General features: G+C 51.1%; 1 protein-coding gene and 1 pseudogene across 38 annotated transcripts in view; one reads left to right on the forward strand and one right to left on the reverse strand.

Moving 5' to 3' along the window:
• Window positions 1-18,555, forward strand: part of CSF2RA (colony stimulating factor 2 receptor subunit alpha) — a 56,405-nt gene that overhangs the window by 31,114 nt on the left and 6,736 nt on the right. For 14 of the 38 annotated variants that reach the window (NM_001379163.1, XM_047441851.1, NM_001379162.1 and 11 more), the window contains 3 exons: window positions 564-699; window positions 3,996-4,092; window positions 5,519-5,600. In NM_001379163.1, the coding sequence (NP_001366092.1) occupies window positions 564-699; window positions 3,996-4,092; window positions 5,519-5,600 (315 nt within the window). Of the gene's footprint in view, window positions 1-563; window positions 700-3,333; window positions 3,436-3,995; window positions 4,093-5,518; window positions 5,601-5,700; window positions 6,015-9,474; window positions 10,009-12,341; window positions 12,449-18,555 lie in introns of those variants that run through there. The other 24 variants (NM_006140.6, NM_001161529.2, NM_172245.4 and 21 more) reach the window with 9 other exon arrangements.
• Window positions 329-448, reverse strand: RNA5SP498 (RNA, 5S ribosomal pseudogene 498; annotated as a pseudogene).

Below are 18,555 nucleotides of genomic sequence, written 5' to 3' on the forward strand. Positions count from 1 at the left end.
ATAAAAGAGGCCGGGCGTGGTGGCTCATGCCTGTAATCCCAGCACTTTGTGAGGCCGAGGCGGTCGGATCACGAGGTGAGGAGATCGAGACCATCCTGGCCAACATGGTGAAACCCCGTCTCCACTAAAAATACAACAAAAATTAGCCGGGCGTGGTGGTGGGCACCTGTAGTCCCAACTACTGGGGAGGCTGAGGCAGGAGAATGGTGTGAACCCTGGAGGTGGAGGTTGTAGTGAGCCAAGATCGCGCCACTGCACTGCAGCCTGGGTGACAGAGGGAGACTCCGTCTCAAAAAATAAATAAATAAAATAAAATAAAAAAGCTTAAAGCCTACATCACCCAAATTTTCCCAACTTGTCTCCCATCGAAATACTAACGAGGCTTGACTCTGCTTAGCTTCGAAGACCCGATCAGACCAAGTGCATTCAGAGTGGTAGAAAAAAAAGAAGAAAAAGAAAAAAAGAAAAGGAGAAAAAAACTTAAAAGACAAAAGAACGAAAAAAGGCAACCTTTTCCTCCACACAGAAGACGCCTATCTCTAACTTTCTTTTTTCCTCCAAAGATTAATGTTTCTGGTGATTTGGAAAATAGATACAACTTTCCAAGCTCTGAGCCCAGAGCAAAACACAGTGTGAAGATCAGAGCTGCAGACGTCCGCATCTTGAATTGGAGCTCCTGGAGTGAAGCCATTGAATTTGGTAAGCGTTGGGCGGAGGTAAGGGATGTTTGTGCCGTCTGCGGCCACCCTGCAGCAGGCACAGAGGTCAGGTGCTCTGTCCTGGGCGCTGAGATCGAGTTGAGCACGTCGCTGGGAGTAGTGTCAGGCTCTGAGCTTATCGCTGAGGCTCAAAAGAAGGAGGTGGTCTCGTACTTGGTCCCGCAACATTGCTTTGCTGATGTTTTTTCAGGACGGATGAGTTGGCTCCCTTAATAACCAGAGAAGGGCCAGGTGCAGCGGTTCACGCCTGTAATCCCAGCAATTTGGGAGGCTGAGGCCGGCGGATCACCGGAGGTCAGGAGTTTGAGACCAGCCTGGCCAACATGGTGAAACCCCGTCTCTACTAAAAATACAAAATTAGCCCAGCATTGTGGCAGGTGCCTGTAATCCCAGCTACTCGGGAGGCTGAGGCAGGAGAATCACTTGAACCCAGGAGGCGGAGGTTGCACTGAGCTGGGATCACGCCATTGCACTCCAGCCTGGGTGACAGCGTGAGACTCCGTCTCAAAAAAAAAAAGAAAAAAAAATACAAAAACTAACCAGGATTGGTGGCACATTCCTGTAATCCCAGCTACTCAGGAGGCTGAGGGCAGGAGAATGACTTGAACCCGGGAGGTGGAGGTTGCAGTGAGCTGGGGTCACGCCATTGCACTCCAGCCTGGGTGACAGAGTGAGACTCTGTCTCAAAAAAAAAAAAAAAAAAAAAAAGAAAAAGTAGAAGGAGGTGGTCTCATACTCATACGGGGTCATGCAACATTGCTTTGCTGGTGTTTTTTTCAGGGTGGATGAGCTAGAATCCCTTAATAGCCAGAGAAGGACCCCACTGATAGCCCTCCTAAAGTCCCACCTCCCTCTGCTCCACTGGGAAACAATCAGTCAGTCTTTGTCCGGTCAAACCGTCACCATTCCGGCTCCCTGGCCAAGGGGAAGCTCTCTCCCTCTTTTTTTCTTTTTTTTTTTTTTTTTTTTGAGACGGCGTTTCGCTCTTGTCGCAGGCTGGAGTCCAGTGGCGCAATCTCGGCTCACTGCAAGCTCCACCTCCTGGGTTCACGCCATTCTCCTGCCTCAGCCTCCCCAGTAGCTGGGACTACAGGTGCCCATCACCACGCCTGGCTAATTTTTTGTATTTTTTTTTTTTTAGTAGAGACAGGGTTTCACTGTTTTTTAGCCAGGATGGTCTCGATCTCCTGACCTCGTGATCCGCCCACCTCGGCCTCCCAAAGTGCTGGGATTACAGGCGTGAGCCACCGTGCCCGGCCCTCCCTCTTTTTTTTTTTTTTTTTTTTTTAGATGGCGTTTCGCTCTTGTTGCCCAGGCTGGAGTGCAGTGGTGCCATCTCGGCTCACCGCGATCTCCGCCTCCCAGGTTCAAGCAATTCTCCAGCCTCAGTCTCCCGAGTAGCTGGGATTACAGGCGCCCGCCACCACACCCGGCTAATTTTGTATTTTTAGTAGAGACGGGGTTTCACCATGTTGGTCAGGCTGTTCTTGAACTCCTGACCTCAGGTGATCTGCCCACCTCGCCCTCCCAAAGTGCTGCAATGACAGGCGTGAGCCACCCTGCCCGTCCGGGGAAGCTCTCTTCAAAGCCAGGTCTCGGCTGCCCAGGAGACAGGTCTATGCTTTTCTCTGAAGATGATTTTGAGGGCTCCAAATTGAAAAGGGGAAGGGGCAGGATATTGAGAAGTATGCGGTTTTCACCTCAACAAAGGGTACAGAAGAAAAATTGTGAGCTGCAGTGCAGTGGTGCACCTCTACCTCCCAGATCACACAGACAAAATGGGGTACAGGGATGATCAGAGGTGCATTCGTGTCTGGTGGGCCGGGGTGACTGCACCTGTAAGAAATTTTTTTTGTTTATTTATTTTTTGTTATTTGAGACGGACTCTCGCTCTGTCACCCAGGCTGGAGTGCAATGGCACGATCTCAGCTCACTACAACCTCTGCCTCCTGGGTTCAAGCGATTCTCCTGCCTCAGCCTCCCGAGTAGCTGGGATTACATTAGACATGCATCACGCTTGGCCAATTTTTGTATTTTTCTTTTTATTTATTTATTTATTTATTTTGAGATGGAGTTTCGCTGTGTCACCCAGGCTGGAGTTCAATGGCACGATCTTGGCTCACTGCAACCTCCGTCTCCCAGGCTCAAGCGATTCTCCTGCCTCAGCCTCCTGAGTAGCTACGATTACAGACATGCATCATGCTTGGCCATTTTTTAAATATTTTTATTTATTTATTTATTTTGAGACAGGGTCTCACTCTGTCACCCAGGCTGGAGTGCAATGGCACGATCTCGGCTCACTGCAACCTCCGCCTCCCGGGTTCAAGCGATTCTCCTGCCTCAGCCTCCCGAGTAGCTGGGATTACAGACATGCATCACGCTTGGCCAATTTTTGTATTTTTATTTTTATTTATTTATTTATTTATTTTGAGATGGAGTTTCGCTGTGTCACCCAGGCTGGAGTGCAATGGCACGATCTTGGCTCACTGCAACCTCCGTCTCCCAGGCTCAAGCGATTCTCCTGCCTCAGCCTCCTGAGTAGCTGGGATTACAGACATGCATCATGCTTGGCCATTTTTTAAATATTTTTATTTATTTATTTATTTTGACACAGGGTCTCACTCTGTCACCCAGGCTGGAGTGCAATGGCACAATCTCGGCTCACTGCAACCTCCGTCTCCCAGGCTCAAGCGATTCTCCTGCCTCAGACTCCCAGGTAGATAGGATTACAGGCACCCACCACCATGCCTGGCTAATTTTGTATTTTTTTTTTAGCAGAGATGAGGTTTCACCATGTTAGTGAGGCTTGTCTCGAACTCCTGACCTCAGATGATGCGCCCGCCTCGGCCTCCCAAAGTGCTGGGATGACAGGTGTGAGCCACCGTGCCTGGCCCAATTTTTGTATTTTTGGTAGAGACGGGGTTTCACCATGTTGGTCAGGCTGGTCTCGAACTCCCAACCTCAGGTGATCCTCCCGTGTCGGCCTCCCAAAGTGCTGGGATGACAGGCGTGAGCCACCGCATCCGGCCCATGGTGGCAAAGTTTTAACAGCTCACCAGAAATTTCCTTGTGGGCAAAACATAGGGCAGGCAGGTTGCTTTCATCTCAGAGCCATCTTAGTTAAGAACCAAAAACAGGGAGGCAGGTTTGCTGGGCCCAGTTCTCAGCTTGACTGTTCCCTTTGGCTAAATGCATTTGGACACCCGAAGAGATTTAATTTCCTTTCACATGTCCGTCAACGATTCACCGCAGACGCAAACCTGTGTGTCTCTCCAGGTTCTGACGACGGGAACCTCGGCTCTGTGTACATTTATGTGCTCCTAATCGTGGGAACCCTTGTCTGTGGCATCGTCCTCGGCTTCCTCTTTAAAAGGTAACCTGTGAAACACCTGGGCCTCCCCAATGAAAACAGGCCAGGCCGGGAGGAAAGCGCTTTGTCCAGTCTCTGTCTCTGTCTCTGAGAAAGAGAAACACAGCCTTGGCCGGGCGTGTTGGCTCATGCCTGTAATCCCAGCACTCTGGGAGGCCGAGGCGGGTGGATCACGAGGTCAGGAGATCGAGACCATCCTGGCTAACACAGTGAAACCCCGTCTCTACTAAAAAATTAGCCCGGCGTGGTCGCGGGCGCCTGTAGTCCCAGCTACTCGGGAGGCTGAGGCAGGAGAATCGCTTGAACCCGGGAGGTGGAGGTTGCAGTGAGCCGAGATTGCACCACTGCACTCCAGCCTGGGCGACAGGGCGAGACTCCATCTCAAAACAAACAAAAGAACGGAGAAAACGGGAGATCCTACAGGAATACACAGTGATGCTCACAGGGAATCTTTCTAGAATCTTCCCTCAGCCCCTCGGGCACAGGGATGGGAATGGAACAGGCAGTCAGCTGTGGGCAGCTTCAGGGAGTCTGAAGTCACTGCTGTTGAAGGGCTGAGCTCCAGAGGGGAAACGCCTGCCTTGATCCCACTAGCCTTGAAGAGCGTGGTTTCTGGGTTGGAGGTGGGTTTTTTTTTGTTTGTTTGTTTTTTTGTTTTTTGTTTTGAGACAGACTTTTGCTCTTGTTGCCCAGGCTGGAGTGCAGTGTTGCAATCTCGGCTCACTGCAACCTCCACCTCCCGGGTTCACGCCATTCTCCTGCCTCAGCCTCCCGAGTAGCTGGGATTACAGGCATGCACCACGATGCTCACCTAATTTTTGTATTTTTAGTAGAGATGGGGTTTCACCACGTTGGCCAGGCTGGTCTCTAACTCTTGACCTCAGGTGATCCACCCGCCTTCGCCTCCCAAAGTGCTGGGATTACAGGTGTGAGCCACCATGCCTGGCCTAGTTCCTTAAGATGTTTGTCATTTGGTGATTTTTTTTTGTTTTTTTGAGATGGAGTCTCACTCTGTCACCCAGGCTGGAGTGCAGTGGTGCAATCTCGGCTCACTGCAACCTCCACCTCCCAGGTTCAAGCAATTCTCCTGCCTCAGCCTCCTGAATAGCTGGGATTACAGGCAAGCACCACGATACTCAGCTAATTTTTGTATTTTTAGTAGAGACGGGGTTTCACCACGTTGGCCAGGCTGGTCTCAAACCTCAAGTGATCCACCCGCCTCGGCCTCCCAAAGTGCTGGGATTACAGGTGTGAGCCACTGCACCCGGCCTAGTTCCTTAAGATTTTCGTCACTTGGTGATTCTTAGTGAAGTTTTGCATAGTTGAGCGCAGACACCCCGCACGCAGCATCCCTCGGCACAGGGCGTTGATGGAAGGAACTCTGGTGACCCGGGGTTCATTCTCTTCACACTTTTTCTCTGTGTCTCAGGTTCCTTAGGATACAGCGGCTGTTCCCGCCAGTTCCACAGATCAAAGACAAACTGAATGATAACCATGAGGTGGAAGACGAGGTAGGCAGGGGTGGGCGGAGCAGTGACCTGGGATGGAAGGTGGGGAGTGGGGAGCGTGGGACACGGCCTCTGGGTGTCGACCATCTTGCTTCTCCACCAGATGGGACCGCAGCGTCACCACCGGTGTGGCTGGAATCTGTATCCCACTCCTGGGCCTTCTCCCGGGTCGGGGTCTTCTCCAAGGTTGGGGTCAGAGTCATCTCTGTGAGCTCCATCAGGAGAAACTGAGGCAGGGTGGTGGTCAAGAAAAGGAGGAGAAGACGGTAGAGAGGGCCAGGCACGGTGGCTCATGCCTGTCATCCCAGCACTTTGGGAGGTTGAGGCATGTGGATCATCTGAGGTCAGAGGTTCGAGACCAGCCTGGCCAACGTGGTGAAACCCCATCTCTGCTAAAAATACAAAAAATTAGCTGGGTGTGGTGGTGTACGCCTGAAATCCCAGTGACTCGGGAGGCTGGGGCAGTAGAACGGCTTGAACCCAGGGGGCGGAGGTTGCAGTGAGCCGAGATCGCACCACTGCACTCCAGCCTGGGTGACAGAGCGAGACTCCATCTCAAAAGAAAAAAGAAGGTAGAGAGGAGAGGCAGAAATAGAGACAAGAGACAGAGGCAGAGAAAGATGGAGGGAGAGAGATGGAGGAGAGAGAGAGGAATGTAGAAGAGAATGAGGAGACACAAAAGAGAGGGAAACAGGCAGACAGACTGACAGAAACAAAGGCAGACACACAGACAGAGAAACAGAGAGAGGGAGGGAGAAAAGGGAGAAGGAAAGAGAGAGACACGAGACACAGATGGAGAAACAGAGACAGATAAACAACAAACATAAAGACCCAGGCGGGGGCCGGTCGCGGTGACTCACATCTGTCATCCCAGCACTTTGGGAGGCCGAGGCGGGTGGATCACTTGAGGTCGGGAGTTCGAGACCAGCCTGACCAACCTGAAGAAACCTCGTCTCTACTAAAATTGCAAAAATTAGCCAGGTGTGGTGGCGCACACCTGTAATCCCACCTACTCTGGAGGCTGAGGCAGGAGAATCACTTGAACCCAGGAGGCGGAGGCTGCAGTGAGCCGAGATCGCACCATTGCACTCTAACCTGGGCAACAGAGCAAAACTCTCTATCAAAAACAAAACAAAACAAAAAAATCATCCCCAGCAGGGAGAGGAGAGAGACAGAGAGGAACAGAGGCACAGAGAGGGGAGAGAGACAAAGACAGAGAGACACAGAGAAAGACACAGAAAAAGAGAGAGAGAGGGAGAAGGAGACATAGAGACAGGGACAAAGAGAAAAAGACGGACAGAGAGAGAAACAGAGAGACATAGGTGGACACAGAGAGGGGAGAGAGAGAGAGAGACAGAAAGAGACAGAGAGCAAGGGATGGGAGTGGAAGAGAGAGACAGATGGAGGAAAAAGACAGAGAGGGAGGCAGATAAAAGACACACAGAGACACCGAGAGAGACAGGGAAGACAGAGGAGTCGGACTTAGTCTCAGCGAGAGCCCAGAGAGGGTGAACAAGGGCGAGGAACCATGTGACCTGCACCCTGAGACCCCATTGGCGCTCCTCTCCCACCCACCTCTCTCCGGCTCAGGGACTGCGTCTTATGTTGCAGTAGGCTGGCAGGCTGGAAAGTCAGGCCAGGGCTGATGCTGCATCCCAGAGGCAGAACTGTCCTGCATTCTCAGAGTGGGAGATGAAATTTTTAAAAAGGAAATAAAACTCTTGTCGGGGAACCTCAGCTTTTATCCTTTAGACGTTTGACTGATTAGACCAGGCCCACTCTTCTCCTTTACACTTTCGGCTGATTGAATGAGGCCCACCCTTCCCCCTTTACACCTTCGACTGATTAGATGAGGCCCACCATTCCCCTTTAGACCTTCGACTGATCAGATGAAGCCCACCCTTCCCCTTTAGACCTTCAGCTTATTAGATAAGGCCCACCCTTACCCTTTAGACTTTCAACTGATTAAATGAGGCCCACTCTCCCCGTTTAGACCTTTGACTGATTAGATGAAGCCCACGCTTCTCCTTTGGACCTTCAACTGATTAGATGAGGCCCACCCTTCCCCCTTCAGCCTTTCGACTGATTAGATGAGGCCCACCCTCCCCTTTATACCTTCGACTGATTAGATGAGGCCCACCCTCCCCTTTATACCTTCGACTGATTAGATGAGGCCCACCCTCCCCTTTATACCTTCGACTGATTAGATGAGGCCCGTCCTTCCCCCATTTAGATCTTCAACTGATTAGATGAGGCCCACCTTTCCCTTTTTAGACCTTTGACTGATTAGATGAGGCCTACCCTTCTCCCTTTAGACCTTTGACTGATTAGATGAGGCCTACCCTTCTCCCTTTAGACCTTTGACTGATTAGATGAGACCCACCCTTCCCATTTAGACCTTCAACTCATTAGATGAAGCCCACCCTTCCCCCCTTCCCCTTTAGACCTTCAGCTTATTAATTAGACAAGGCCCACCCCCTTTAGACCTTCAACTGATTAGATGAGGCCCACCCCTCTTCAGACCTTCAACTGATTAGATGAGGCCCACCCCCTTTAGACCTTTGACTGATTAGATAAGGCCCACCCACATTCTCCAGTCCAATCTCTTTTCCTGGAAATCAGCTGATTGTGGACTTGACATCTACAAAGCCCCTTCGTAGCAGCCGCTGAGTCATGGTTTCATTCAATAACTGGGGACTGTAGCCTAGTCACGGGGACACGTCATTGGTGCCGGGTATCAGAGACGAAGGCCAAGAGATGAAAGAGAAACAGAGACTGAACCCAAAAGAGGCAGACACACAGGAAGATGGAGATAGAGACCCAGAGATGGGGGTGGAAGAAGGTGAGAGGGGGAGGAAAGAGAGACAGAGAGGGAGACAGAGAAAAGAGGCAGAGAGACCGAGAGAGAGGCTGAACAGCAAGACCCCAGAGAGGGTGACTAAGGGTGAGAGACTTGCGTGACCCACATCCCAAGACCCCGTGGGTGGCCCTCTCCCACCCACCTCTCTCCAGCTCAGGGGCTGTGTCTTCCTCCCATGGGGAACTCCAGTTGCAGCCCAGGGTTGCCCCCAGCGCCCTCTTCTCTGCCACATAGGTAACATCCTCCTGGTTGCCACTTGCACACCCCCATCCTAGACCTGGCCATCTGTCATTCCATTACCTTCCACCCCCACGCCAGCCTCCTCCCCGGCCCCCGCTTTCCACTGACCCCCAGGGGTCCCCCACATCGAGGTGCCAGGATGACGGCTTCAGGCTTCAACCTTCCCTTCTCTGAGCTCCATCAGCTCCAGGGGCTTAGCACCTGCTGTACCCTGCCCAGGTTTCATGCTCACAAGCTCTTCCAAAGACCACCCTGTTCATCGTCAACTATGAGGTCCCATGGGTGGATCTGTCTCAGATCTTTACCCCAGGAAAAACCCATGGCCAGGTGCAGTGGCTCATGCCTGTCATCCCAGCACTTTGGGAGGCCGAGGCGAGTGGATCACCTCGAGGTCAGGAGTTTGAGACCAGCCTGGCCAACATGGTAAAACCCCATCTCCACTGAAAGTACAAAATTTAGCTGGTGGCGGCTAAAGGGGGAAAGGTGGGCCTCATCTAATCAGTCGAAGGTCTAAAGGGGGAAGAGTGGGCCTCATCTGATCAGTCAAATTTGTGGTGGCGGGCGCCTGTAATCCCAGCTACTCAGGAGGCTGAGGCAGGAGAATCGCTTGAACCCGGGAGGCCGAGGTTGCAGTGAGCTGAGATGACACCACTGCACTCCAGCCTGGGCAATAGAATGAGACTCCGTCTCGAGGGAGAAAAAGAAAATAAACACAGCCCACTGAGTCCCAGGCTGAGCTCGTGAAGATCTGACAGCCTGAACCCTCCTTTTTCTCAGATCATCTGGGAGGAATTCACCCCAGAGGAAGGGAAAGGCTACCGCGAAGAGGTCTTGACCGTGAAGGAAATTACCTGAGACCCAGAGGGTGTAGGAATGGCATGGACATCTCCGCCTCCGCGACACGGGGGAACTGTTTTCTTGATGATGCTGTGAACCTTTATATCATTTTCTATGTTTTTATTTAAAAACATGACATTTGGGGCCAGGCGCGGTGGCTCACGCCTGTAATCCCAGCACTTTGGGAGGCCAAGGCAGGCGGATCACCTGAGGTCAGGAGTTCAAGACCAGCCTGCCCAACATGGTGAAACCCCATCTGGACTAAAAATGCAGAAATTTACCCAGGCACGGCGGCGGACGCCCATCATCCCAGCTACTTGGGAGGCTGAGGCAGGAGAATTGCTTGAACCCGTGAGGCGGAGGTTGTAGTGAGCCAAGATCGCACCATTGCACACCAACCTGCGTGACAGAGCAAGATTGCATCTCAAAACAAACAATAATAATAAATAATAAAAACCTGATATTTGGCTGGGCGCCGTGGCTCATGCCTGTAATCCTAACACTTTGGAGGATTGCTGGAGACAGGAGTTTAAGACCAGTCTGGGCAACATAGCAAGACCCTGTCTCTACAAAAAAGGCAAAAATTAGCTGGGCGTGGTGGCTTGTGCCTGTAGTGCCAGCTATCTGGGAGGCTGAGGCGGGAGGATCACTTGAGTTCAAGCTGACAGTAAGCTATGATTGCACCGTTGCACTCCAGCCTGGGTAACAAACTAAGACCCCATCTCTCTGTCTCAAAAAAAGTGATACTTCGCAAAGATGCTTAGACTCCAAGAAGCTTTTGCATCTCTTTCCAACCCAACTACTGAGGTACTGTGTAGCCTCCTCCTTGAATAACTAACCTGGTGAGCTGAGATTGCGCCATTGCAATCCAGCCTGGGCAACAAGAGCAAAACTCCATCACATTTAAAAAAAAAAAAAAATTGATGGCCGGGCGCGGTGGCTCACACCTGTAATCCCAGCAGTTTGGGAGGCCGAGGCGGGAGGATCACGAGGTCAGGAGATCGAGGGCATCCTGGCTAACATAGTGAAACCCCATCTCTACTAAAAATACAAAAAATTAGCCAGACGTGGTAGCGGGCGCCTGTAGTCCCAGCTACTCGGGAGGCTGAGGCAGGAGAATGGCGTGAACCCGGGAGGAGGAGGTTGCAGTGAACCGAGATCACAACACCGCACTCCAGCGTGGATGACATAGCGAGACTCCATCTCAAAAAAAAAAAAAAAAAATTATTATTGTACAGTGCCAGGCCTCCCTGGGTTATAAATCCAGTTTTTAGTAGGTCCGGTTCCTTCTGGAGGACAAAGTGATGATATAGTTTGGTTGTTTGTCCCTTGCAAATCTCAGTTTGAAATTTGGTTCTCCGGGTTGGAGGTGGGACCTGGCAGGAGGTGTTTGAATGAAGAGGGGGCGGACTCCTTATAAATGGCTTGGTGCCTTTCTTGTAGTAATGAGTGAGTTCTTTCTCTATTTGTTCCTGAAAGAGCTGGTTATCAAAAAGAGGCTGGTGCCCGGGCATGGTGGCTCACGCCTGTAATCCTAGCACTTTGGGAGGCCGAGGCTGGTGGATTGCCTGAGCTCATGAGTTCGAGACCAGCCTGGGCAACATGGTGAAACCCCGCTTCTACTAAAAATACAAAAAGTTAGCTGGGTGTGGTGGCGGCCACCTGTAGTCCCAGCTACTCAGGAGGCTGAGGCAGCAGAATTGCTTGAACCCGGGAGGCGGAGGTGGCAGTGAGCCAAGATCACGCCATTGCACTCCAGCCTGGGCAACAGAGTTAGATTCTGTCTCCAAAAAAAAAAAAGGTAAAAAGAAAAAGAGGCTGGTACCTCCTTCCCTGCCTCTTGCCACCTCTCCCACCATGTAACACCAGCTCCCCTTCCTCTCCCACCAGGAGTGGAAGTTGTTGAGCTTCTCAGCAGCAGATGCTGAAGGCACAATTCCTGTACAGTCTGTGGAATCATCAGCCAAATAAACCTGTTTGTTTTTTTTTTTAAGTTGGAGTCTTGCTTTGTCGCCAGGCTGGAGTGCAGTGGCACAATCTCTGCTCACTGCAACCTCCATCTCCCCAGTTCAAGCAATTCCCCTGCCTCAGCCTCCCAAGTGGCTGGGAGTACAGGCGCCCGCCACCATTCCCGGCTACTTTTTTTTGTTTTGTTTTGTGTTTTAGTAGAGACAGGGTTTCACCTTGTTGGTCAGGCTGGTCTCCATCTGACCTCGTGATCCGCCCCCCTTGGCGTCTCCACGTGCTGGGATGACAGGCGTGAGCCACCGCGTCCAGCCAAATAAACCTCTCTTTAAAATACATCACCCAGCCTGGGGAATCCCTTTGTAGCAACACAAAACAGACTAAGACGAGACGGAAATTCATTTCCCTCCATTTCCCACATCTAGAAAAGGCTGACTTTCTTCATTGGTGGTTGCTGTCACTCAGGCCTGCTGTTGACTCCTCATATCTCACTGGACTGTGACTCTCCTGCCTCCCTCTCATAAGGACAATTATTATTATTATTATTTGAGATGGAGTCTCGCTCTGTCATTCAGGCTGGAGTGCAGTGGCACGATCTCAGCTCGCTACAACCTCCACCTCCCGGGTTCAGGCAATTCTCATGCCTCAGCCTCTCGAGTAGCTGGGATGACAGGCACCTGCCACCACACCTGGCTAACTTTTGTATTTTTAGTAGAGATGGGGTTTCACCATGTTGACCTGACCACAGGTGATCCACCTGCCTCAACCTCTCAAAGTGCTGGGATTACAGGTGTGAACCACCACACCTGTTCCTTATAAGGACAATTGTAATTACATGTCAGGCCCACGGGGACACTCCAGAATCATCTCTCCATGGCAATATCCCTGGAATAAAAGTCCTCCTTCCATAGAGAGCATTCTGTAATGTGTCCACAGCATGCTTATCCAGGTAAGAACATGCTGGGGGCCATTATTCTGTCTCCCACGTGGAATTAGGACGTGGACATCTTTGGGACCATTATTCTGTCTCCCACATGGAATTAGGACGTGGACATATTTGGGGACATTATTCTGTCTATCACATGGGATTAGGACGTGGACATCTTTGGGGCCATTATTCTGTCTCCCACATGGGATTAGGACATGGCCATATTTACGGGACATTATTTTGCCTCCCACGATCAGTGAGTAATTCAATCGCCACAGATACCGAAACATCAACTGAGATGGTGGCTGACAGGTGGTCTAGGGCCTACAGGGGACTTCAGGACTTGGAGCCGAGAGAGAGCCGAGCTTGGGATGGATCTGACGGTGAGGTGCCAGCTGTTTCCTCCCTCGTGGGTGTTCCACGTCCCTCCTGCAAACCCCAGCCGGCCCCTTGCTTCAGAGTTTCAGGGGAGATTTGACGATGGAGCAGAGGCAGCCTTCCGGAACCTTCTACCCCTGACCTTTTGATTCACAAGTCAAAGCTTGGGGAAGAGATGGAGCCAGGCTCTTGGTGGGGAGAAGCGTCTAAAACACAGCAAGGAAGAAAAAGCGTGGAATCCTCTGGGCCTGCAAGAAGTGAGAGGAGGAGACTCCCACAGGGCGCCCCAGGAAGCAGGTCCACCTCCCCAAGGGAGCACCACATTCCTGGGTATGAACCTGTGGGTTTCAGAGACCTCAGGCCCTATTTACCTCAGAAGCAGAGGCCTCCGGTGTCAAAGAGACAGCAGAGGCCGGGCGTGGTAGCCATGCCTATAATCCCAGCGCTTTGCCAGGCCAAGGCAGGTGGATCACTTGAGGTCAGGAGTTCAAAACCAGCCTGGCCAACGTGGTGAAACTCGTCTCTACTACAAATACAAAAAAAAAAATAAAAAAAGCTGGGTGTGGTGGCACACGCCTGTAATCCCAGCTACTCAGGAGGCTGAGGCAGGAGAATCACTTGAACCTGGGAGGCAGAGGTTGCAGTGAGCCAAGATCACGCCACTGCACTCCAATCTGGGTGACAGAGAGGAGCTGTGGTCAGGCACAGTGGCTCATGCCTGGAATCCCAGCACTTTGCAAGGCCAAGGCAGGCAGATCATTTGAGGTCAGAGTTCAAAACCAGCCTGGCCAACATGGCAAAATCTCGTCTCTACTAAAAATACAAAAAAAAAAGCCAGGTGTGGTGGCAGGCACCTATAATCCCAGCTACTTGGGAGGTTGATGCAGGAGAATCGCTTGAACCCAGGAGGCGGAGGTTGCAGTGAGCCAAGATCACGCCATTGCACTCCAATCTGGGTGACAGAGAGGAGCTGTGGCCAGGCACAGTGGCTCATGCCTGTAATCCCAGCACTTTGGGAGGCCGAGGTGGGCAGATCACCTGAGGTCAGGAGTCCGAGACCAGCCTGGCTAACATGGTGAAACTCCATCTCTGCTAAAGATACAAAATCTTAGCCGGGTGTGGTGGCACCTGTAATTGCAGTTGCTGTACTCAGGAGGCTGAGGCAGGAGAACCGCTTGAACCTGGGAGGCAGAGGTTGCAGTGAGCCCAGATCATGCGATTGCACTCCGGCCTGGGTGACAGGGCGAGATTCTGTCTCAAAATAAATGAATAAATAAAATAAAATTAAATTAAAATAAAATTAAATAAAAAATAAAAAACAGCCAGCAGAGATAGGGCCTAGGATGACTGAGGCCCCTGAAGGCTGTGGCGATCAGCCCCTCCCCTGTGTTCTTTGGCACCTACGGACCCTCTCCAAGGAATGGGTGGGCAGAGGCTGTCAATATTGGCTGAGAGGGAGCTTTTGCAGAACCGCACTGCACCTGCCCAACCCCACTGCACCTGCCCAACCCCACTGCACCTGCCCAACCCCACTGCGCCTGCCCAACCCCACTGCATCTGCCCAACCACTCTGTGCCTGCCCAACCACACTGCACCTGCCCAACCCCACTGCGCCTGCCCAACCCCACTGCATCTGCCCAACCACTCTGTGCCTGCCCAACCACACTGCACCTGCCTAACCGTACTGCACCTGCCCAACCGCACTGCACTTGCCCAATTGCACTGCACCTGCCCAACCCCAATGCACCTACCCAACCCCACTGTGCCTGCCCAACCGCACTGCACCTGCCCAATCCCACTGCACCTGCCCAATCCCACTGCACCTGCCCAATCCCACTGCACCTGCCCAACCCCACTGCACCTGCCCAACCCCACTGCACCTGCCCAACCACACTGAACCTGCTCAACCCCACTTCACCTGCCCAACTGCACTGCACTTGCCCAACCCCTCTGTGCCTGCCCAACCCCACTGTGCCTGCCCAATCGCACTGCACCTGCCCAATCCCACTGCACCTGCCCAATCCCACTGCACCTGCCCAATCCCACTGCACCTGCCCAATCCCACTGCACCTGCCCAACCCCACTGTGCCTGCCCAACCGCACTGCACCTGCCCAATCCCACTGCACCTGCCCAACCGCACTGCACCTGCCCAACCACACTGAACCTGCTCAACCCCACTTCACCTGCCCAACCGCACTGCACTTGCCCAACCCCTCTGTGCCTGCCCAACCCCACTGTGCCTGCCCAATCGCACTGCACCTGCCCAACCCCACTGCACCTGCCCAACCACACTGCACCAAAGGAAGAGCAATGCAGACATTCAATCCTTTGCATGCCTAAACTGGAGAAGACTGTTTATAAGATGCATGCAGGTGGGAGTCACACTGTGGGGGGGAGGGTCATCGGTCACCTGCGTGAGATCAGGGTTGTGCAGGTGGAGAAAAGAGAGGGAGGGGAGACAGATTCTATGATGAGGACAGGTGTGGTGAAAATGGGTCTCAAAAGAAATTTAAAAAATAGATGATATATATAGAAGACAGATAGATGATTGATAGATGACAGATGAAAAATATATATGATAGATGAATAGATGTATAGGTAACAGATAATAGCTAGATACATGATTGACTGATAGATATTTGATAGATAGATGATAGATGAATTTTATTTTATTTTATTTTGTTTTAAGAGACAGAGTCTCATTCTGTCACCCAGGCTGGAGTGCAGTGGCGCGATCTCAGCTCACTACAACCTCCGCCTCCCAGGTTCAAGTGATTCTCCTGCCTCAGCCTCTTGAGTAGCTGAGATTACACGTGTGCACCACCACCCCCAGCCAATTTTTTATATTTTTTGTAGAGACAGGATTTCACCATGTTGGCCAGGCTGGTCTCGAACTCCTGACCTCAAGTGATCTGCCCGCCTCAGCCTCCCAAAATGCTGGGATTACAGGCGTGAGCCACCTTGCCCAGCCATAATGGATGAATTTTAGATAGATGATAGACATAGATAGATAGATAGAAAATAGATAAAATAGATAATAGATAGATAGATAGATAGATAGATAGATAGATAGATAGATAGATAGATTAGATAGATGAATGGATAAATAGATGGATAGATAGATGGATGAATGGATAGATGACAGATAGATAGACTCTAGATGGATAATAGATGATGGATAGATTGATGATAGATGGATGATAGATAATAAATGATAGATGATAGATAAATAGATGATTGATAGAAAATAGATGATAGATGGATAGACAGATAGATAGATATATAGATAGATACATAGATAGACCAATAGACAGATAGATAGATCAATAGATAGATAGATAGATAGAATAGATAAATGGATAGATAGACACATAGATACATAGATACATAGACAGATACATAGATAGATGATAGATTAGATAGATGATAGAAGAGCTAGACAGATGGATAGATAGACACATAGACAGATACATAGATACATAGGTAGATAGATAGATGATAGATGACAGATGATAGATTAGATAGATGATAGATAGATAGATAGATAGATAGATAGATAGATAGATAGATAGACAGACAGACAGACAGAGAGGTAGTTGGGATCTATCTGCTATTTCTCAGGCTCCCTCCTGGAAGTTGGAACTGATCTCACTTGTTCCAAGACCCTCACCTTAAATCACATTGTTAGACGGTGAACCATCCAAAGCCCCCAGGCCAGCAAAGATACTACCAGGGGCCATTCCAGGACCTGAGGTATCACCACCCTCCAGCCAAGACCCAAGGCAAGACTTCCCTTTGGGTAAGGCTAGGTCTTCAGTGCACAGCGTCTAACAAGCGACAGGAGAAAGGTATGTCCTGGAGATGGGCTTGGCCCGGGAAGAGCCATGGAGACTCACGTTCAGCCCCTGCCCATCCACGCGGGAGGGAACACCGGCGTCATGGGGCTCCCCAACGCCTGGGTTCTCCTGAATGAGATCAACAGCACCACCACCTCCTACATCCGTGCCTGCGTCTCTCATCCTGTTGAGTCATGCCGTGGGGAGCAAGTTCCCTAATTCTGTCTTCCTGTGTGGACACAAAACCAGCAGCCGACGCCCCAGACACAGAGGCGTTGAGGGCGTGGGGCCAACACGCTTGCCCCCCTAACGGTTTGCTGAATAATCACTAACAATGAACTAGATAGATTACTAAGAAACAAGACATGCATATTTTCTTTCTTTCTTTTTTTATTGAGACGGACTCTCACTCTGTCGCCCAGGCTGGAGTGCAGTGGCGCGATCTCGGCTCACTGCAAGCTCCGCTTCCCGGGTTCACGCCATTCTCCTGCCTCAGCCTCCCGAGTAGCTGGGACTACAGGTGCCCACCACCATGCCCGGCTAATTTTTTTTGCATTTTTAGTAGAGACGAGGTTTCACCATGTTAGCCAGGATGGTCTCGAACTCCTGACCTTATGATCTGCCTGCCTCGGCCTCCCAAAGTGCTGGGATGACAGGCGTGAGCCACCACGCTCAGCTTTTTTTTTTTTTTTTTTTTTTGAGACAGAGTCTTGTTCTTGTCGCCCAGGCTGGAGTGCAGTGGTACAATCTCAGGTCACCACAACCTCCGCCTCCCGGGTTCCAGCGATTCTCCCGCCTCAGCCTCCCGAGTAGCTGGGATGACAGGCATGCACCACCACGCCCGGCTAATTGTGTATTTTTAGTAGAGACGGGCTTTCTCCACATCAGTCAGGCTGGTCTCGAACTCCTGACCTCAGGTGATCTGCCCGCCTCGGCCTCCCAAAGTCCTGGGGTTGCAGGCGTGAGCCACCACGCCCAGCTTTTTTTATTTTTATTTTATTTTATTTTTTTTTTTTGAGACGGAGTCTTGCTCTTGTCACCCAGGCTGGAGTGCAATGGTATCATCTCAGGTCACCATTTCTGTAACGTGCAAATTTCTGTAACGTGCACGCACAGAAGCCTTCAGAATGAAGACCCACGCTCCCAGGGAGGTACAAGCTTTTGGAGTGGAAGAAGAGGAAGAAGAGAAATTCTAATGGGGCTTGGATCTTCTCTCCTGGAGTGGGAAAAGAGGAATTCTATTGAGGGAAAGTAAGAGATTGCTAGGAAGATCCTTTGCCCAGGCTGGAGTGCAGTGGCGACTCTTGGCTCACGGCAGCCTCAACATCCCAGGCTTAAACAATCCTCCCACCTCGGCCTCCTTAGTAGCTTGGATGACAGGCATGCACAACCATGACTGGCTAATTTTTTTCTTTTCTTTTTTTTTCTTTTTTTTGTGAGACAGAGTCTCACTGTGTCACCCAGGCTGGAGTGCAGTGGAGCGATCTCGGCTCACTGCAACCTCCACTTCCCGGGTTCAAGCGATTCTCCTGTCTCAGCCTCCCGAGTAGCTGGGACTACAGGCACCCGCCACCACGCCCGGCTAATTTTTTTTTTTTAACTTTTTTTTTTGAGACAGAGTTTCATTCTAGTTGCCCAGGTTGGAGTGCAATGGCGTGATCTTGGCTCACTGCTACCTCTGCTTCCCGGGTTCAAGTGATTCTCCTGCCTCAGCCTCCCAAGTAGCTGGGATTACAGGCATACGCCACCACACCCAGCTAATTTTGTATTTTTAATAGAGACGGGGTTTCACCATGTTGGCCAGGCTGGTCTTGAACTTTCTACCTCACGTGATCCGCCCACCTCGGCCTCCCAAAGTGCTGGGATTACAGGCGTGAGCCACTGCGCCAGGCCGAAGCTGAACTTTTGTCTCC

This window comes from Homo sapiens, chromosome X, assembly GCF_000001405.40.
Source record: "Homo sapiens chromosome X, GRCh38.p14 Primary Assembly".
Taxonomy (NCBI): domain Eukaryota; kingdom Metazoa; phylum Chordata; class Mammalia; order Primates; family Hominidae; genus Homo; species Homo sapiens.